This window comes from Homo sapiens, chromosome 12 (assembly GCF_000001405.40).
Source record: "Homo sapiens chromosome 12, GRCh38.p14 Primary Assembly".
Classification (NCBI taxonomy): Eukaryota; Metazoa; Chordata; class Mammalia; order Primates; family Hominidae; genus Homo; species Homo sapiens.
The window spans coordinates 65621717-65644169 of record NC_000012.12 but is presented as its reverse complement, the minus strand read 5'-3'; the positions used below and the strand labels follow the sequence as shown (position 1 = coordinate 65644169).

Genomic DNA, 22453 nt, shown 5'->3' with positions numbered 1-22453 from the left:
TCATGCCTCATTACCCTATGCTTATAAAACCTGACCCAGCCCTTTGCTCAGACAGACACTGCTTTGGGAACTATCTCTTGTGTTCTCCTTACTTGTTACAAGTAATAAAATTGTCTTGCAAAGAAAAAGAAAAAGAAAACTGTCTTCCTAGCCTGGATAAAATCTTTCTCTCTTCAAACTCTCTCCTCTGGCATGTGCTTAGGCTTTTAGGAATAAAACCCAGGAAGTCCTGTCTCAGACCTCCCATAAGACAAGGGAGCCCAGGGTCTTCTATCTGCTTGAATGCAGGCAGAGAAAATACAAAATATCTCAAAATGTTATCGTGTCACAAATGTTGTCTTGCTTTTGGACTCTTTAGTTCCTGGGTCTGGACCATGGTAAATCTGATTTCCACAACATGACATAGATGCAAAGTGCTTGTGGTAGTTTGAAATCCAGCTTACTATAATGTTGATTAAGAAACATGAGTCTCATCTCCACACAACTGTTAGAATGACTATTATCAAAAAGACGAATGATAATAAGTATTGGCAAGAGGTAGAGAAGGGGAACTCTTGCACACTTGTGGTAAGACTATTAATTAGTATGGCCATTATGAAAAACAGTATGAAGTTTCCTCAAAAAACTAAAAATAGAATTACCATATGATCCAGCAATCCCACTACTGGGTGTGTATCCAAATAAAATAAAATCAGTATGTCAAAGAGATATCTGCACTCCCATGTCCACTGCAGCATTATTCACAATAGCCAAGGCATGGAATCCATCTAAGTGCCCTTCAGTGGAAAAAATGGATAAAGTAAGTGTGGAATATATACACAATGGGACACTCTTCAGCCTTTAAAAAGAAGAAAATCCTGTTATTTGCACAACATGAGTAAACCTGGTGGACATTATGTTAAGTGAAATAGGCCAGGAACAGAAAGACAAATACTACATGATTTCACTTATATGTGAAAAAAGTTGATCTCATAGAAGTAAAGAGTAGAATGGTGGTTACCAGAGGCTGGATGGGGGCAGTTGGAATTGGGGAGATGTTCGTCAAAGGATATACAATTTCAGTTAGACAAGAGGAATAAGTTCAAGAGACCTATTGTACAACTTGGTGATAATAGTTAATAATAACGTATACTTGAAAATTGCTAAGACAGTAGATGTAAATGTAGTAGTAAAATGTTCTCACCATAAAAAATAAGTTTGTGAGGTCACGCATATGTTAATTAGCTTGATTTAGATATTACACAATGTATACATATTTTAAGACATCATGCTGTACACCATAATATATACAATTTTTATTTGTCAATTAAAACATTTTTTAAAAAACACATGAATCTCATGGTACATGGACTTGCATTAAAGATTGGGGTTCAAATTCTGCCCCTTACTACTTACCTAGCATGGTAAGTAACGATCTTGGTGTTTTGCCTTTTCTTTCCTTTGCCCCATCTCTCTACTGCTATTTAGTTGAGACCTCCATCATCTTTCACCAAGATCAACATAACAGTCTCCTAACTGGTCTCTCTGTCTCCAATCTTACCCTCTACAGTCTGTCATCAATCCTAATGATAAATGGAAATGTGGTCATCCAAAGTCCTCCATCAAAACCCTTCAGTGACTCCCCATTGGCCAGAGGGCAAAGTTGGAGCTTCAAAGCAATGATTCATAGTTAATTCAATGATCTTTGTAATCCTTTATGATCAGTTTCCTCTTTTCACTCAGTGGCAGATACTTGTAGTTGTCCTCAAATTTCATACTCTCATTTTTCTTTATTAATATAACCACACATTTTTAACTGAGCTCATTGATCATCATAACAGAGTCTATTGAAAGTCCTCAGCAGGCGGTGTGACGATGTGACCAGCTCTGGCCAAGGAGCTGTAGGCAGAAGTGTCTTGCAGCAGCTCCTGTAAATCTTAAAAGACAGCTGGTGCGTGTCTTTTTTCCTTTTTTTTTCCCTTCCCCCTTCCTGCTGCGCTGAATATGGATATGGTGAGTGAATCTAGAGCAGCCATTTGGAGGTATGAAGAGATCTTGGAAATAGAGGCCATGTGTGTTGAAACAAGACCGAACAACTCCAAGTTCCTGAAGACTTCATTTCACCAACCCAGAACCTCCTTGATCATCACAGGTGAACTTATTCCTAAAGCAAACACTCTCATTTTCCTTCCTTCTCTACTTTACAACCATGCTGAACTGCTTGTTATTCCTTGAACTGATCACACAGTTCCGTGCTTCTGTGCCTTACCTCTTGCTGCTCCTCCACCTTATGCTTTGTCTTTCTAGCAAATTCTTTCTTATTAAGATCTACCTTGATTGCGCCACCGCACTCCAGCCTGGGCGACAGACTGAGACTCCATCTCAAAAAAAAAAACAACAACAATCCTACCTCTAGGGTTTCCAGCTTTGAGAAGACTACTCACTCACAGCCAGGCAAATTTGGTGATTCTTTCCATTTTCCATCATTGTATCTAGTCCATCTGCCTAACCTAATACTGATCACATGCCTATGTTTTGTTTACCTATGTGTTCTACATAATAGATGGTGAACTTCTACAGGCCATGCTTATTTTTTTTTTCATCTCTACATTTCTATTGCCCAGAACAAAATTGGGTCCCAAAGAATAGGGTGGCACAAATGAACAATTGAATAAAATTCTCTGAGTTTCTATTATTTCCTCCTCTGTAAAATCGAGTCATAATAATTCCCATTCTAGAGATTTTTGAGAGTCACATGAGAAGAGAATGAGAAGGTTCTCTGTAAACGTAACACATTATCAAGAAAACCAAGGCATTGTGTGTTTATCCAAATTTCTGTTATCTGGTCAATAACCTTAGACAAATATGTTTTCTATAGAATCCAGAGTTACTGATCTGTTTTATATCTACACGAAATGGAAACAAAGGATGAATTGGAAACAGGACACACTTCTGATCTTAGGCATGTACAAATTAGTAATATAACCAAGAGTTCTTAAGGTCAATTTAATTTTTATTGCTAGGTACTTGAATATATTTGAGTGCAACTATTCTACAAACCCTTAGCTCCAGGTAACCTCTTCAGCCACTGGACAAACATAGCTCCATTTAATGTAGTTGTACTTAAAACAAAAGTGATATGTATCAAGCTGATTCCACTTGCCGAAATCACTTCTAGCTCGTAGAATAGGTGTAAGAGCCAAGGGCTCAAGACATTCACTTTTTCTTCAAGTCAGCTGCTTTAAGAGAACACAGGATGGTCAGAGCTGGAGCTAGAGAAGCGGCAGGGTGTGCTCTTGTTTCTGCTGTATTAACCTAAGCAGCCAGGGAACTCTGGACATCCTTTAGAGAAAGTGCGACCAATGGAGCAATAGGCCTGCTCAGAGCATGCTGACTTCTCTCTTGGGACTAATTCTCTCTTCTGTTCTACGCTCTACACCCTCATGAAGTCATCCACCAGAGCCATCATGTGCTTGCATCCTGCTGTGTTCCTTCAACCAACTGCTGACTCTAGATCCTTGCTTTAGTCCTTTAACACTTTCCAGCACCAAGATCTCATGCCTGGGAGTCTAAAAGCACCACCCCCGCTTTTTTCTTTTTTTTTTTTTAAATAGCAATCAATTTGCTCCCACCACTCCCAGGGAATCCAGTCTCATTTTTGCCTGCATTTTCCTGTCTGGGGGTGGTGATGGTGGTGAGAGGGTGGAGGATAGTTTTAATGTCACCTCTTACATTATGAATCAGTGACATAAGCTTTTAAAGCCAAAAGTATTCGTAAGATCTCCTTTTAAAACGATAGAGGATTTAACTACCTTCACTCTCCTATTTAAACTGATTTCAGAAGGAAATGTAGGGTTGAAAATGAAGTTTGGGCTCTTCTCCTCTGTATATTTGCAAATGCACAAAGCTGGGTCTGTTATGTCCTGTCTGAAAGGCTATCTATTTGTACAGCTTTATGCATCTCTTCACAGAACACCCATGAAGTCACAGCTCATATTTCTGCTTTAAATATTCGATCTTTTGGCTTTAAACACCCATAAGGGTTATTTGTCAAAACGGATCTTAAACCTCGCCCCACAGCTCTGCAGCAGATCTTTAAAGTCATGCTGTTGGGGTGGGAAGGAAAGGATGGGGGAGACGGGGAAAGTCAGCCATTCAGCAAGCATTTATGGAGTGCCAAGTACGTGCAGAGCATATGGTATCTAGTAATAGGTGCTGTGAGAGAGAGAAAAAAGACATGGAGTACATGTTCTTGCTCTCAAGATGGAGACAGAAACATGAGCCCTGTTAGTTCAGTCCTAGATCTAGACACTTTAACCTTGTTTTCTAAAGATGTTTGCATGAACAGCAAAAGCCAGCAACCTCAGGCATGTAAGAACATGTTAGCAGCAGTGGTGTATGTGTGTGTGTGTGTGTGTGTGTGTGTGTGTGTGTGTGTGTGTCAGAGAGAGCGAGAGAAAGCATATGTTGGTATAGGGATAGGATTAGGATGGGGGCGAAGAAGAAAGAGTCATGCTTTATATAGAAGGTCCTTTCTTGATGTGTTTTCTCAATCATCTTCTGACCCAAGATGCCTTCCCTTAGCTTTCTGAGACCGCAGTAGCGAGTTCCCATGGCCCTTTTTTATAGCAACGCACTTGTAAGGGAGGAGACCACCCTTCATATTGTCTTATGTCCAATTTCTGCCTCCAAAGAAAGAGAAGTAAAAACTAAAAGGCAGAAATGAAATCCACAAGCAGATAGCATGGCGCCACACCCTGGGCCCTGTAGTTAAAGATCGACCCCTGACCTAATCGGTTATGTTATCTATAGATTACATACATTGTATAGAAAAGCACTGTGAAAATCCGTGTCCTATTCTGTTCTGTTCTAATTACTGGTGCATGCAGCCCCCAGTCACGTACCTCCTGCTTGCTCAATCGATCACAACCCTCTCAAGTGGACCCCCTTAGAGTTGTGAGCCCTTAAAAGGGACAGGAATTGCTCACTTGGGGAGCTCGGCTCTTGAGACAGGAATCTTGACAGTGCTCCGGGACAAATAAACCGCTTCCTTCTTTAACTCGGTGTCTGAGGGGTTTTGTCTGTGGCTTGTCCTGCTACACTTGCCCCCAGCACTTTCCTGACCCTTGGGATCCAGCTTGTTTTTCCAGATTTGTGTTTGTTTTGGTCTTCTTTGAAGGCAAACTTTCTTTATTGTGCCTAACCATTTATTTCTGCCACATACCTCTTTGGTTCTTATATTAGTCTGTTTTCACACTGCTATAAAGAACTGCCCGAGAATGGGTAATTTATAAATGAAGGAGGTTTAATTGATTCACAGTTCTGCATGGCTGGGAGGTCTCAGGAAATGTACAATCATGGTGGCAGGTGAAGGGGAAGCAAGGCACCTTCTTCACAAGATGGCAGGAAGGAGAAGTGCCAAGCGAAGGAAGAAGAACCATTTATAAAACCATCAGATCTCATGAGAACTCACTCACTATCATGAGAACAGCATAGGGGAAACCACCCCCATGATCCAATTACCTCCACTTGGTCACTCCCTTGACACATGGGGATTATGGGGATTAAAATTTTAAATGAGATTTGGGTGAGGACACAAAGCCTAACCCTTATCAGTTCTGAACTATGCTGTGGCTAGACACTTGGAAGGACACCTGTCATGTGTGGGCTGTGTGGGCCCAGGAGGGCTGTCCCCATGTGCTTAAGCAGGTGTGGCCTCCCTTAGCAGATGTGGGCCCCCAGGAGGCCCTACTAATCTGGTTCTTATGCTGTGAGTGACAACTTAGATACCACTGTAAGGTACTCTCAAATCCTTATGGAGGTGGAGTCAGACAAGCTTGGATTTAAATCCCACTCCCACTATTAGCTATACTATAAAAACTTAGAAAACTACATCGAGCCTCAGTTTCTTCATGTGTCCAGCGGAAATTCTCCCATAGTGTTATTATGATAGTTAAATGAATTAATGCATATAAAGGGCTTAACATAGTACTTGGTACATAGTAAGCACTCAATGAATGTTAGTATTATAATATAAATATAGTTTTCATTAGTATTCATGCATTTACTTTGAGACTTTTCTTTGTGGCCTAAGATATATTCGTTCCGTCCTACAAAGTATATGACTAAGAGAAAAACAGGAAATGTGACTTACTCCATCCATTAAACAAGCTTTTTTAAAGTGCTGACTGCATTTCCAAGTACTGTATTAGGTCTCTCCCTCCACCTCCCTTCATCCTTCCACAAACACTTATTGTGTGCCTATGAGGCACCAGGCATCGCACTGGATTCTAGGAACTAGTGGTGAAATAGACATATACGTTTCCTTCCATCACAGAGCTTATGCTCCAGGGAGAAAGACGATATTACATAAGTAAACCCAGGTATAGAACCAGGGATAAATTCTAGGTGCTACAGGTAGTGCTCATGGAACATGGAGACCTGCAGGGTCAGGGAGACCAGTGTGTTATGAATTTCTATTTATGAAGCTAATTTTCAAAAGGGTAAGTTACTTGGCTGCCATTAGGTCAATAACATTTTTTTATTATGTTGCTGCGAGGCATGGCTGACATTTTCGAAGGATATATAAATCAAACCCATGATTTTCCAACTCTGTATTTTAAGTGGCAAAATGTCTCTAAATTAGAAAATTTGAATATTATGCTTATTGACAAAAAGACATATAAAGTATCAAAACTTAAAAGAATGAGTTCACAGGTACAACCTCGTATGTGCTTTACCAAAACTTAACAGAGCATGCTTTTTATTAATACTTCTATTCTGAACTTAGTCACCAAGTCCAGACTTAACTAGATTATTTCTTTGTACATCACCTTGCATTAACTAAGACAAAAGCCAGAATATAAATGTGGTTCTAAAACTTCTCAAATTATATCTGTAACATCTTTTCTGCAGCCAATAGCTTCAACGCCATTATAGAGGGGTCAAAGGGATGGAGAACTCTATGTTTATTGATAGCCAATTATGTGTGAGTGCCAAATGTAATCTCATTTAATTCTCACAGGAGCCCTGTAAAATAGGTCTTATTTTTATCTCTTTTTACATATTAGAAAATTCAGGCCCAGAGAATTTGAAAAAATTTATTCAAGTTTGCACACAGGGCTCATATTCAAAGCTGAGACTACCTGATTCCAAATGGTAGTACCATTTGAAGTGGTATTCCCAATTGGGCATGAATGATCTATTTGCAGAAGGGCAAAGGAGTTTATTTCCATGCATGCGTGGTACATTTTAATTCACATAATCATGAGACAAGTTTAGATAACATGGCAAAACCCCTGTCTCTACAAAAAATACAAAAATTAGGCATGGTGGTGTGTGCCTGTGGTCCCAGTTACTGGGGAGGCTGAGGTGGGAGGATCACTTGAGCCCAGGAAGTCAAGGCTGCAGTGAGCCATGATTACACCACTACCCAGCCTGGGCAACAAAGTGAGACCCTGTTTCAAATAAGTAAACTAACTAACTAAATAAATAAATCACTGCAAATCTAAGCAGTCATATGATAATTACAGTTTAGCACATAAAAACCCCATTGTAGTCCGTATGTCACAAGTTGTGTGCAATTTATCCTGGGCTCTAAGACTCCCTTCTTAGAGCCCTTAAATCTATTTTTAAAATTCTTTCCATATACTACAGTTAAAGATAACAGGACAATGAAGGGCATTCAACATGTGACAAACAGGAAAAAATAATATATGTTCACTTTTTCTAAGATTATAATTTTACTTTACTTATTAAAAGCTCTCTTTTCAGCACAGTAAACTTGCCAAATTGGGCCTCATTCAGTGTTCCTAAAGTGGAACTAATCCATCTTCTTTCAGGACTAGGTTAATCTTGCCTCTTTCCTATTGCTTTCCATGGGATCATCTGTTTCCCCAAGCACCTGGGGTCAAATCTTTGTAGCCATCTTTGACTCCTCTCTCCTCATTCTCCTACATTCAGGCAAGCATCATTAAGAAAGAGAATGCCAGCCTGAACAACATGGTGAAAACCCATCTCTACCAAAAAAATACAAAAATTAGCCAGGTGTGGGAGTGCATGCCTGTGGTCCCACATACTCAGGAGGCTGAGGTAGGAGGATCACATGAGACTGGCCTCCATATATCAAGTGTCAGTTTACGTTCACTTTTTCATTTGTTCCAATCTTCATAGCAGCCACCCTAAAGTATTTGTTATCAATTCCATTTGTTTTCAATTCCATTGGTAGACGAGGAAACAACCTCAGAGAAGTCAGAAGCTGATAATTAATGAAGTGATTTGAACCTGGGCCTTTATATACTATAAAATACTATTCATTTTTCCTACATCATTGATCTTCTACTCATCTATTTCCTTTCATTACTCATGAACTCACCTTGAGTCTGACTTGCATTTTGTAAATGCTCAAATGAGTGCTACAGCTTGCTAGCCATTTTTCTTTCCCCAACTTCCATCCTAACTCTATGCCTTAAGCCAGATTTGTCTTCCCAACCATTCATCTTTCTCCACTACCTAATACAGTAGTTCTCAAGCTACTAAAAATCAAATAATAGTGATGTGTCACTGATTTACATAAAAAAGTTTATTTCTTTAAATTATGTTCTATTTTAAACATCTCTCCCTTTTTTTTCTTGAACTACTTATCCTGACCACAAGCTAATGTGAGTATATATGTTTATTTCATATTGCCTGCAAATAGTACTATGGCTTCTAAGACACTGTTGTGTCAATTTGAGAATCACAGCCCTAGATGATAAGGGCTGAAATGACATTCAGCTGCCTCTAAATCATTCCCTGTTTCCTACTACTCTTCAATCCAGCATGCTTCCTTGGCTGCCCAGGGCTGAAGTTCCTAGCCCAATACCTGGCACCCAGGAGGATTCACTCACTGCTTGTTGCCCATCGTTCCACTCATTACTCATGAAGCGTACTTTGCTACGGTCCATTCCTCTGCTTTGCTCATATAGTGACCCTTGGTCCCAACTTCTCTCTTTCCTCTCCTTTTTTTCCTCTCTTCCCCCTCCTGTTTTAAAAGATCATAGTTAATATTTGTTGAATGCTTCTAATGCTCTAGACATTTCCCAAGGGCATTGCATGTATTGACTCAGCTAAGCGTCTCAAAACTCTTCTGTTGTGAGTATTTGCAGGACCTTTTTTCCTGACCTCAGTTTCTGAATTTGCAAAATAGAGATTAAAATAATACTCACCTAATAAGATTGTTATGAGGGTTAAGTGAGTAAATACACAAAGTTCCTAGGATGTGATACACATTTGATAAGTATTAGTCATTATTTTTATTAAGCCACGTTATACTTTTGGAGCTTTAAGTTCGTGTTGATTAACAACTTGGAAGTAGCCAGTGCAGCTATTCAGGACTCAGCCATGTCTCCAGAGTCCAAACTCTCAAACACTGGGCTCCACCACCTCCTTTTTCCCTTTTTCCAACTCATTCAAATAACCCTCCCCCTCTAGAAAGCTTTGGCCACTCATTTGTGTTCCTAATATACCCTTTGAATATTCTGTGGTGTATAGCAGAGTGCTACACTCATATAGATAGTCCCTTACCTTCAGATAAGACTTCTAATTATTATGAAATAATCTCCATCTTTGTTTCAATTGTATTAACAATTGAGAATAGACCTGTGCTAGTGACATAATTTTCCCATTTCCTACTTGTATTGGGGACTGCCAAGACCATCCCCAGGGTCAATAATTAGCGAGGAAGACTTACAGAACTCAGCACAGAGTCCTAGTCAGGGCTAAGAGTTATTATAGCAAAAGGATACAAAGCAAAATCAGCAAAAGGAAAAGGTGCATGGGGCAAAATCTGGATGAAACGAGACATAAGCTTCCAAGAGTCCTCTCCCATCGGAGTCACACAGGATGCGATAAATTCCTGCAGCAACAAGTTCTGACAACAGGTATGAAATGTTGTTCACCAGGGAAGCTCATTAGAGATTCAGTGCCCAGTGCTTTTACTGGGGGCTGATTACACAGGCACTCTCTGCCTAGCATGTAATAAAATTCCAGACTGGGGATTCCTTTCCTTATTCCTTTTGGGAATCATGAAAGCAGGTGTCCAGCATGAACCACATTGCTTGTACAAACAGTTTAAGCACAGTGAGCCCTCTTATCACTTCTGGGGATAATGAAAACCCTCCTGTGATGGTTAATTTTATGTATTCACTTGGAGGGGGGTTTGGGATGAGATTAACATTTAAATCAGTGAATTTTGAATAAGGAGACTGCCCTCCAATATGTGGATTGGCCTCCTTCAATCAGTTGAAGGCCTGAATAGAACAAAAATACTGGCATCCCGGAACAAAAGAGAATTCTTAGCAGGCCACCTGTGGACTGAATTGGCTCTCCTGGGTCTCTACCTGCCAGTCTTTATTTTTATTTTTTATTTTTTATTTTATTCATTTATTTATTTCTTGACACAGTCTCACTCTGTTGCCCAGCCTGGAGTACAGTGGTGTGATCCCGGCTCACTGCAACCTCTGCCTCCCAGTTTCAAGCAATTCTCATGCCTCAGCCTCCCGAGTAGCTGGGACTATAGGCGTGAACCACCATGCCCAGATAGTTTTTGTATTTTTAGTAGAGATGGGATTTCACCATGCTGGCCAGGCTGGCCTTGAACTCCTGGCCTCAAGCGATCTGCCCACCTCGGCCTCCCAAAGTGCTGGGATTACAGACATGAGCCACCACATCTGACCACCCCAGCCTTTACACTGGAAATGCACTATCTACTCTTCTAGATCTCAAGCCTGTCAGCCCACCCTGTGTATTTTGGACTTATCATCATTGGCTTATAATCATGTGAGCCAAATCCTTATAATAAGTCTCTCTCTCTTTTGTATATGTATATACACATATATGTGTATATGTGTATATACATATATGTGTGTATGTGTATACACATATATATACACAAATATACACATATATTTACAAATGTATATAAATATACATTTGTATATTTGAATACACACATATACACATATATACATTTGTATATTTGTGTACACATATATATACATATATGTGAGTATATGTATATGTGTATACAAATATGCACATATATTTGTATATGTATATGTATATACACATATACATATCCTATTGGTTTTGTTTCTCTGGGGAACCCTAACTAATACGCCCCTCAAAATCCAAGTTGCTAGATGCCAGTCAAGGATCAACCTTGCAAGCAGGTCTTCCTAAGGCTAGCAGTCTCTGGCCTACTTTGTTAACCTTTTCTGTACACTACTAATTTTTATAGCAGTAGAAGCCATATGACAATAATGCCATGGAGCAGCAGAGCCTGTGAATAATCAAAAACTATGAGGTGGAGAGAAAGTCAGTAGAGAGAAGTTGGCTGGTAGTGACAGAAAAGTAAAAGCAACAGGCCCAGAGCCCTGGAGTGAAGGCTGCATTGTAAGAGGGGAGCATCCAAGGAGGAACAAGGGGAAGTCTGTGGCAGGGGAGAAGTTTGGGCAAGTCACTAGATGCTCCTTTACCCCACAAGACCTGACCATGTAATTGTGGTTGTGGTAGATTAAAGGTGTCTGGAAATTCTTTGCCACTCTTTACATAATGATATGGGATCTGTTTCCCCTCTCCTTGAATCTGGGTTGGCCTATGACTTGCTGTAACCAACAGAATGCTGCAGAAGTGACACTGTGGCTGTTTGAGACATGAACCTTAAGAAAACCTGGCAGTTTCTGCTTTTGTACTCTTGGGAGCCCGGGGTCCCCAGGTAATGGTAGTCGGCTGCACTGCTGGAGAAACCACTGAGAGAGAGTGAGAGAGAGGGAGGGAGAGACGTCGGACCAGCCCCAGCTGTTTCAGCCATCCCAGCTGTGGTGACATGCATGGGAATGAAGTCATTCTGTATTATTTGAGAGTTAGCCTAGTTGAGACTCTACATAATGCCACCTGCATGAGTGATTCCACGCAAGACCAGCAGCAGCATTGCTGCTGAGCTCCACCAAGATTACAGATTTCATGAACAAATAATAAAATGTTGTGGCTTTAAATCACAGACTTTTGGGGTGGCTTCTTTCCTAGCAATAGATAACTAATATGGTGAAGCAGCCGGAACTATCTGAGGACAGTGGCTTCATTGTAATAGTGAAGCACAGGAGTAGAAAGCAAGAGATGTCTGTAGCCGGGGCAGCAGGATGACTCTGTGACAGTCGACACAATATTTTATTTTCCTTCCAGTTTCCACTGTTTCACAATACTGACATGTGTCACTTTACAAAGAAAACAATCTGTACCCTTCTGAATTAGGCTTTACACTAGAATCTTTTCCAGACCTTCCCAACCCTCAAACCGAAGTTTGTGAACAGTGGAATGAGTTCCCACACACAATGAGTCATGTTTGTCTTCTGAGTGCCGATTGCCTTAGTGGAGACCTTAGATCATCAAATCGCATGCCCTGAAGCTTGTTTCTTCATGCAGGGAGCCAAAATCCATTGTATAACCTCATCTCCGGCAAAGATTCTCAACATGCGCCTGACTATGTATGTGCAAGATGCCAAATCAGTGAGTCCAAAAATGTAACAATTATCCCTGAAACCAGTCTGACCAATTTTATGGACAGAATTAATGGGTCATTTTGTGGTAGCAGAAACTGGACCTATGACCAATTGTTTCTAATATTTTTATGTATCTTTTATGGATGAGGAAACCAAGGGCAGGGGTGAGGGGAGAGAGAGAGCGCTCATGAATTATCAGAGCCATTGAACAAGTCAATATCGAAGGCAGGGACATCACCCATGGCTCCCAAATCTCCTTCAGGGCTTTCTCCACTATTGGCAGCATTAGTTTTCATTGGATGTATGTATATTGCTCTGCTGGAGAGGGCATAGTTACAGCCCTGCTTTTTTGTGTTTTTTTTTTTTTAACCTTAAGTAAAACATTTTTCTCCTTTGTGATATCACAGTTTTACCCCGGACACTTGGTTAGTTTCTTATGGGCAGTCTCAGTCATCTCTTTAAAAAAAAAATTCAGAAGTAAGCTCCCAAAAGATCATGTGTTGAGAAAGAACATTTAAACCTAGCCAGTAGGGTGGGAGGGAAGGAAGGGGAGAGTGTGGAGAGGCTCTCCCTGCTGATAATCTTGGAAGAAAGAATTACCTGACTTAGAAATGTGATATTTTTCTAGGCCACCTCGTTTCTTCTGATTAAAAATAACCACTTTCCATTATGTACATATAAGAGAAAAATGAATGAAAACATAGCTAGGAAGTAGCCTAGAATGATAAATCAGGGAGAGTATAATCTACACGTGCATATTCAGTCAGTAAACACTCAGTATTTATAGCATATGGAGAACTCATTCATTCATTCATTCATTCACTCACGTATCACCTGTCCATTGATCTGTTTACTTAACAAACATTGACTGAACACCTACTACAGGCAATGTCCTACAGAGACACGTAAGGTAAAGACCATATTTCCTGCTCTCCAGGGATTGCTTTTATAGTCTCATAAAGGAGATAAGACAAGACAAGAACACAAAGAACTATGATCAAGGTAATAAATGAGTAAGCACCATAGGAGAGAAAAATAAAGTGAGATGAAAGTTCAGAAAAGGGAGACATCATTTCTGGCCAAAGGAAATATAGAGTAGAAAGATTTCTTAAAAGTATAATCTATCACCCTGCAACTCCTAGTTTAAAAGCCTCACATAGTTATTAGCTCTGTGACCTTGGGCAAATCATAAATTTTCTGCTTCTTAGTTTGCTTATCTTTTAAAAGAAAGGGTTGGACTAAATGATCTTGAAGGTCCTTTCCGCTCTAAAGTACTGGGATACATAATTTTTCATGCGAAGACCCAGCTAAATATGTGACAAACTATTCTTTATACAACTAGAGTAACTCTTTAAACCTAAATAAGATCATGTTACCCATGGCTTAAAAACCTTTCATGGCTACATTTCAAAGAAAACCCAGACTTTTCAGATGGCCCTCAAGGTCCCGCAGCATCTGGCCCCACGCTCTCCAACCTCATCTTCCCATGTCCTCCTCTTACCCCGCTCTCTCCAACCTCATCCTCCCCATGTCCTCCTCCTACTGCTGCTCTTGCACTGCCAGGTCTTCTTTGCCACTCCCCTGAATGCACTGGTTAGGATCTTCACACAGGCTGTTTCCTCCGCAAGAAACGCTTTTCCTCTTCTCTTAAAAAAAATACATGTATGTGTGCGTGTGTGTGTGCATGTGTATGTGTGAGTAAAATTTTTATAAAAGGAATAAAAAATACAGTTTTAAAAAGTCAGATGATACTACCACAGGATTATAACCCAAACCCATAAGGTTGGCGCACCCGGAAGGAGAAGAAATCTTATGTTTCAATATCTACACTTGTGCTCAGACCCTTTTCTTTTGCACCTCCACTTCTTCTGGGGCCGGCATCCTGGTTGTGGAGCCACTCCAGTTCAACTTCTCCACAGAATAGTAAGATTCTGGCATCCTGGCAGGGTGAGGAGGAACACTTGCCTGGACCTGGGTAGAGGAGAGGGAAGAGAGGGTCCAGGGGTTTAAATGTGCTTTATACTGACTTTCAAACCATTCTCCTCATTCCTCCCCAGAACTCCACCCTTATCTTCCACAGACCAGGCACCATCAATGGCTGAGACTTACTAGGGGGGTTAGATGCTGTGACTTGGCTCCTTTGACATTGGCATCCAGTTTGCTCACACTTGGTATACAGCATTCTTACTTTTGCTCACTCCTCCTTCCACTTTTTATCTTCCAAAAATATGTTCACTCTTTGCAGTCACAATTCTCTCTCTCATCACCTGTTGTCTTTGTCCTTCTGAGTTTCTATCTCATTAGTTCCTTTTATACTCAATTTTAGAAAGGTCTGTGGAAAGGTTAAGAAAGAATGTCTTGTGTCTTCCATGTTTAACTGAAATGCCTCTTCCTTTATCTCATTTTAAAGCTTTTCATTCTTTTAGTATCAGCTTAAATTTGCTATCAGACTTCACTGACCGAACCATGTCTAAATAGATCCTCCTGGGATCATCTATGAGAGCATACTGTGTTTTACTTTCATAACATTTCTTATAATTTTAAGCTATCCTTATTTGTTGAGTTGTTAACTTTAAATAAATTTATTTATTACCTCATTTAAGGTCTGTTGCTCCCACTAGAATGCACACTCAGGGAAGGCAGGGACTGTGTCTGTTTTCTTCAGTCAATTTATGCTGAGTGCTTAGCACAGTGCCTCACCGTGACAGATGCTCAAGAATTCTGATTGATGAATATTGACAAACAAGGGAACCAAATCTTAGACTCCACTGACAGCACCTCCAGGGCAACAGCAGACTTGAAAGAAAAAAGACAAAGATGAGCAGACTGCACACAAGCGTGAATTCTCGACCCAGACTTTGTCCAAATCCCAGAACTACCACTTGCCTAGTGTGTAACCTTGCAGATAAATTGCATAAAAATGGAGAATGGAGATAATAATGGTACATCTACCTTATGAGGCTATTATAAAAGTTAGAATTAGTCAGTAGAGGTAGAGCACATAAAACAATGGCAAGCACGTAGTGCTCCATCAGTTTTGGCTGTTAGGTGTTAGAATACTTGGCTTGGGGTGGGGGTCTTGTTTTGGAGAGGAGCCTCCTTCCAAGTTTTGCTCTGAAAACTTAAAGCTAAACTTCCGTATATTACACACATGTTGGTATTGTTTGCCTGAAATGTTTAGAACTTTTTACTTCTGGATTCTACTTATGTTTTCACTGTGTTCATACTTATGTTGAGTAATTTGTAAGGTGTTTGGGAGTTCTGATAAAGCAGGGCCCCTTAGGCTATCCCCAAACAGAAGACTTCTCCATGGGAATGAGGCATGTCAGGGAAGATAGGGTGAAGGATTATAGAAAGGAGATAACTTGGCAGGCTTAAAAGAATGGAAGGTTTGGAAGGAGTGGGATGTGGAGGTGGAGAAAGGGGGTTTGGACACCAGACAGAATTTGGTTGAGATGCCAGTTCTACCATGACTAACTACATGACCATGAGCAATTTGCTAGACCTCTTGGTGCCTTCACTTCCTTAGCTATAGTAAATATTACATGAGATGATATACACAGAAAATGTAGGCCAGTACCTGGTATGGAGGAAAATACTCTAGTACTTAAATTATCATTGTTAGGAGTAGTCAAGCTTCTGCCACCTCTGAATCTGACTGGCAATGTGGCCTTGGAATATTCACTTTCCTTTTCTATGTCCAAGATGCTCATCTATGAAATAAAGGTTCTCTTTCTATTTCTTTGCCTCTCGTAAGTCAGAATTCTGCCAAGGGCTATCTTTGGAGACCTCCCCCTGACCACCCCCAGCAACACCCAACCACACAGACACAAGCTCCTGGTATCTTAGGTCTTTTCCATATTTTGCTAGAACAGTATTTCCATATTTTTGTCTGCTGCTGTACAAAGTTAAACTACATTACAGTGCAAAGGGTCAGCAGAAGCCAGTCTCCAAGATGGCCTTTGTTGATCCCCATCTCCTGGTATTCACACCCTTGTGTTGTCCGCTCACACAATGAATGGAGCTGAATAGTGTAACAAATACAATTTTTCAGAAATGACAGTGAAATTTCTGAGACTAGGTGGTGAAAGACATTGAGGCTTCCACCTTACTTCTTGGATCCCTCACTCTTGAGGAAGCCAGCTGCCATGTTATAAGGACACTCAAGCAGCCCTGTGGAGTGGTCCATGTAGTGAGGAACCTGGTCAACAACCAGCACTAACTTGCCAGATGTGAGAGTGAGCCTGGGCCACCCAGCTAAGCCACTCCCAGAACCTAACCCTCAGAAGTATAATATGTGTATCATCTGTGTGTGATAATACATGCTTATTGTTGTTTTAATCCTTTATGTTTTAGAATGATTTGTTATGCAGCAACAGATAACTGATACAGGGTTTCCTGGGAACATGCTATGCACTGTTGAGTCCAAGTGCAGGCCTTCTGGCTAATCTTGGCCCTGGTGGGAACTCTATGAACCTTTCCAAAATGTCACTAATTTCTCCTCCCTTTTAGGTAGCAGACCTCTTTCTCAGATCATAACACTTTGGATTACAGTTCCCTTTTGTTATTCTGAGTTGCTGTTGTTTTTTTCTTTCCAAGTCTTATTCTGAGATTTCTTAAATACCAAAGCCTGCTCCAGAGCCTGACAAGTTTCAAGGCCCTTCCCTTGCACAGTGATTTTCCAAGGCCCTCAGAGGGGCTCATGCAATGTGTTCACCTGATCACATGGATAATAAAATTTGTGAAAAGCAATATTTAACTATAATCAGTTAAGATCACTGTCTCTCTACTTCAACTTCCACTCTGTCTTACTCTCCCTAACATTCAGTGGTACTGGAGTGGCCATGGGCATTTTTAGCATACAGCTAAGGGGAAGTTTACTTTAATTTAGGCCTAGTGGGATGTACTTTTGTGGTTCACAGGCACTTTTTTGTGTGTAGGATTAAGCTATTTCTATCCTTCTCAGTGTTCAAATGGTTTCCAGCAACATTCCTACCACCTACTTTGCTGACACAAAGGTGCATAAACAGAAGTCCTATGGTAAGTATATATCTTGTACCATATCAGCCTGGGACCAGGAGTATAGGGACTGGGGAGGAGAAACAAGGTTTGAAATACACAAAGCCAGAAGCTAGTCTGTGAAAGTTCTTCCAATCTTCAGATATGTAGAGTGACTAGATCTATACCTAGTCAACACCAACAAAAATTACAAAAAAAAAAATCCAAGTTGTAATCATTCATGCCAGAATAAAGAATGAATTATTGTTCTGTTCACTGTATAGATAACTACATTACAAAGTCATTTTCCTGTAAAGAAGTGAATGGCCAATAAATGCACAATCAAAAAAAATTTAGCAAAATAAGTATAAAAGCGCATCAAGCAGTAATAGGGGTATGCCAGGCAGTTAATTAGAGCAGCCGCTATATTTTTTTCTGGATTTTGTCAGATTTGGGGTATTTGTCAGCTTTTAAAAATGTGTAATGGATTGTGATTTCTCTTTCTACAGTAACACACACTTTCAAACCTGATTTTGTATTTATAATTTGGTCATGAACATGGGATTTTGCCCATCAAACCTGGCCCTGTTCCTGCTGTGTCCCACTTAGCTCTAGATCCCTGTAGGAAGGATTCCTTCTTTTCTATGCTCCCTGACTCTGGCTTTGGATTTGCGCTGAGCTGCTCTTCTCTCGCCACTCACCCAGCCCTTGTTCCCAGCCAGTCTCATAGGAACTTCTGACTCCTCTTAGTCCTGAACCCTTCGTTTTCTGGGTGCACGCTTCCATCTTGATTAGCAAGTATAGCATTCTCTCTCATTGAAGCCCAGTTTATTTTTGAAGGCTTCATATTCTTTTTCTCCGACAGAAGGTAATGGCAACCCCAACTCATCCCCTAACAAGGAGGATCCTTCCAAGCTGCTGTTTATTTCACCTGCCTCATGACTACCATTACCCTGCCAGCCCCATGAGAGCAAGAAACACATCCATCTCCCTCAGTCATGCTTAGAACACTGCCGGCACACAATGAATGTTTGTTAAAGAAATAAATAGGTATATAAATTAATATCTATTGCCATAAAGATGAATTTTATGTGAGCAATCATAACTCAAAATTATAATTCAAATTCTAGCTCATAGTTCAAAATGTAGCTCCAACTAGGCAAATTGCCCCCTAATTCATAAGCTTTAGGGGAAAGAATATGTTTTCACCATAGAGATATCCTCTTTGCTTTTACATTGTTGAGACTTATCCTTAAGTTTTCTTCTCCTTTTTTTCCCTACCTTTTCCCCAGCCTCCCACTCCCACGTAACACACACACACACACACACACACACACACACCCCGAAATTGGTTGTGAATTGCTGGAGGCTTATGGTCAGAGTTATTTAATTTACCACTTAATTTTGTTGGCCTAGTGGCTGGCCAAGTAAAATCTGGCAATTTGGTGAGAACAGAGGAAATTCTGCAGTTAGCGATAAGCAATGCCCTTGTGAAGGTAGGAGAGGTCCTGTTCCAGCTGACAGTTTGCAGAAGATGAGAAACACTATCCTTAAAATGGGCCTCAGGAGAGAAAATGCATGTCTAGGAATAAATCTGTTAGTTTTCTCGTTGGTTAACAGGAAGGATGCCTTATTTTCCCAGTAATAATACATTTCCTTCATTGACATAAGCGACCTCTAGTTTTATTTCCTCGCAAACTAGATTATAACCCTCTAAAATGAAACACCTCACCCCATGATATTTCCTGGAATGGAGTGGAAAGCTGTTGTATTTGCCTGTCTAGTATCCATTACTTGTTATTCTGATAACAGTCCACTGGGTTTATGGTGGTGGGCGCTCACTCCATGCCTGGATCCTTGGGTAGGCTCAAGACTCAAGCTATGTCAGACATTTTTGCCCCAGAACTAAAACTTGGCAAAGTGCCAAAAAGTGAAAATTGGTGCACTTCTTTTATCCTAACCTCAGTGGCCTCAGGAAAATGTCCCATTTGTTCCTGGCCCAACTTCCTTGAAGCTACTCAAGTTCCTATACTAAGACCTGGTACTTGTGTTTTCACCTCTGTTCTATGTGTTAGTTCTAAACCTTTTTTTCTGTTCTTTTCTTCTCTTCTTAAGTGTCTAGAGGTGAGTTTCTCTTGTCTGCAATCAAAGAACCTAGCAGATACAGTAATAGATTAAATGGGCCTGAGTTGTGAAGAAGACCAAAATCTGGGACCAGACTCAATTATAATTGCACAGCAGGGAAAATTTGTTTCTCTAACTTTCCATTTCTTTTCCATTTTTGCCTTGCTTTGAAGCCAAAAATTCCTATCACCATACCACCACCTCCACAAACACTCAATGCCATGGCACCCTCTCCACTTTCCTAATAACACCTAGTCTCTGAAAAAGCACTGATCCTAGTCATCGTTTATTTGGTCGATCCTTTTTGAGCACCTATTATATGTCAGTTATTGTTCTAGGTTCTTGGAATATGTCAGCAAAACCCCTGTTGCAGTGGGGCTTATATTCTTATGGTCGAGGATAGACAATAATCAAGTAAACAAATAAATCAACAAAATAACTGGGGACAGTGATAAGTAGTATGAAAGGTGATGTGATAGAGATGACTGGGTGGTCAGGGAAGACTTCTTTGAAAAGTGGACATATAAGTTGAGACACAGATCATTTGTGGAGACCAACCATCTCAAAATATGACCGGTGGGGGAGGAAAGCTCTCTAGGCAAATAAAACAGCAAGAGATCAGGGACATATGCAGGGCATATTCATGGGCCAGATCATGCTGGGTTTTGTAGACCATGGCAAGAAGTTTGGATTTTATCCTCATTGTCATATAAAGCATTAGAGAGGAGTGACATGATATATATTTTTAAAAGATCACTGATTACATCATAAATAATCAATTGTCAAACAGAAACCAGATGAGAGGTTGTCACAGGAGATAATGGGACTTGGGCAAGAGTGGAGGTGGAGAGAAGTGAGATGATATACAACATATTTTGGACATGGAGATGCATGTGCTGGAATAGGAGGAGTGATGGCCCCATTTGCTGAGATAAGGACAATTAAAAAGGTAGTGGTGTGATGGAGGAGGAAGAATCCTGAGTTTTGTTTCGATTATGTTAAGTTTGAGATTGTTCATCAGATATCCAAGGGGAACTGTCTGGAGTCCTGTTGAAGAGTCAGGACTGATGTAAAGTTAGGAGTCATTAGCATATAGATGGTGTTTAAGGCTTGAATAAAATATCTAAGGAAAAAATATAAGGAGGAGAGAGGGCTCAGACTAAGCCCTGGGGCAGTTGACTATTAAGAAATTGAGCCATTATTAATAAATAAATAAATTTTATTAATACACTTTTCAATGTTCTTAATCAAGATCTTAAGCCAGATCTTTGACTTTGGATGAGTTCACAAACTAGCATAGTATTCTAAGGCATTTATTCATTTATTTTTTAAAGGTAGGATATTCCTCAGAAGAAATCTTAGGGCTAAATCTAACAGCTGAAATTGGGAGTACTCTGGTTGGGGTGTCAGGGGGTGGAGGCTGTTCCCAAGCCCTGCCCTGTTAGGGCCCCTCCACCACCCCCTTTCCATGAGTTATACTTGAAATGTTCTCTGGCTGCAGACCCTTCGTGAATCTCTATGGCTACATGTGGAACAGAGGGAAAAATCCCTCACCTCCTTCAAGTCTCTGCTCAAATGTCAACTTTTGGTAAGATCTACCCTGTACCCCTTTTTTACACTACAGAAAAACTGTAGCCTGTCACTGTCCCCACCTTAGTCCTCCTAATTCTTTTAGCCTGATTTTGTATAAAGCGTATATCAGATACTAACATACAATATGTTTTGCTTACTATTTTTTCTTTTTAAAGAAAAATATGTTGTCAGAGCATAAGCTCCATACAGGCAGCATTTTTATTTTCTGAACATTGATGTGTTTCCCTCACTTATAAATACTGTAGTGCCTGGCACATAGTAGCACTCAATAAATAGTCCTTAATGGATGAATGAACTAATGTTACAAAAGGAGTAGTTACTTAGTGGACACAGCATTTATGAATCCCTCAAGTATTTACTGAGTATCTAAATAACCTAAACTGTACTAGATTATACAAGAAAACCAAAGGCATTCAGAAAATTAAATTTTAAATAAAGCTTTGTCTTAATCTAGGCATCTTGGAGAATTCAATAGTTTAATTTCCAATTTTAGAGAAAAGTAACAATTTCTTTCTATTTTAATTTTCACAAGTAGTAGGTTGGAATACTAGGCTCAATTCTCCGTGCTCACCCTATAAAAGCATTTGCATCCACACGCCTTGTCATATAACTGCAGTGCTTCTGTACAGCGGACAAGGCATTCATCTCTGCCGTTGGGCTTTGCCATGTGACTTTTTCTGGCCAATGGGATGTGAGCAGATGTGTTCTGAACAGAGGCTTCATGGCACTTGCATGGTCCGGTTTGCGCTCTTGGGCATTTGCCATCTGCCATGAAACAAGCAAGTCCCAGTCAGCTACCAGAGTGAGAAATTAGGTAGAGCAAACCTGAACTCACCTAGAGCCTGCCAATGCACAGATCCTTAGCCAAAAAGTGAAACTTTATTGTTGAACCCACTAAGATTTCATAGTTGTTTGCTACCCAGAATTAGTATAGCCCAAATCTGACTAATGTAGCCACAAATAAACATAACTAACTTATTAATAGTAACTCTCCTACCTGGAATTTAATATAGAAAGAAAATTTCACCTTTCATTAAAATTAAAGTTAAAAATAAAAGGCATTTCATGGTTTTTCTAAAGCTTCCTTGAAAGTGAGCACATTAAAATATGAAAAGTGAGGTATATTTCCTAAGACAAACATGATTTAAGGCGCTGTTCTAATGAAGGTGAAATGTCTGGCAGTGAAAGAGCACAGGAGTAGGAGCAGAAAGTGTGTCCTA

General features: G+C 40.2%; 2 long non-coding RNA genes across 5 annotated transcripts in view; one reads left to right on the top strand and one right to left on the bottom strand.

Annotated features, from left to right (window-relative positions):
• Window positions 1-1797: 1797 nt before the first annotated feature.
• MSRB3-AS1 (MSRB3 antisense RNA 1) overlaps window positions 1798-22453 on the top strand; it is a 175556-nt gene continuing 154900 nt past the window's right edge. For 3 of the 4 annotated variants that reach the window (NR_120431.1, NR_120433.1, NR_120434.1), the window contains exon 1: window positions 1798-2131. This is a non-coding gene — a long non-coding RNA (MSRB3 antisense RNA 1). Of the gene's footprint in view, window positions 2132-17484; window positions 17559-22453 lie in introns of all 4 variants that reach the window. The other variant, NR_120432.1, reaches the window with a different exon arrangement.
• On the bottom strand, window positions 14311-21874 carry LOC105369806 (uncharacterized). The gene is made up of 4 exons (XR_945028.3): window positions 21805-21874; window positions 15112-15314; window positions 14628-14850; window positions 14311-14489 (listed from the first exon to the last, which is right to left on the bottom strand). It is a non-coding gene; the product is annotated as an uncharacterized LOC105369806 (long non-coding RNA).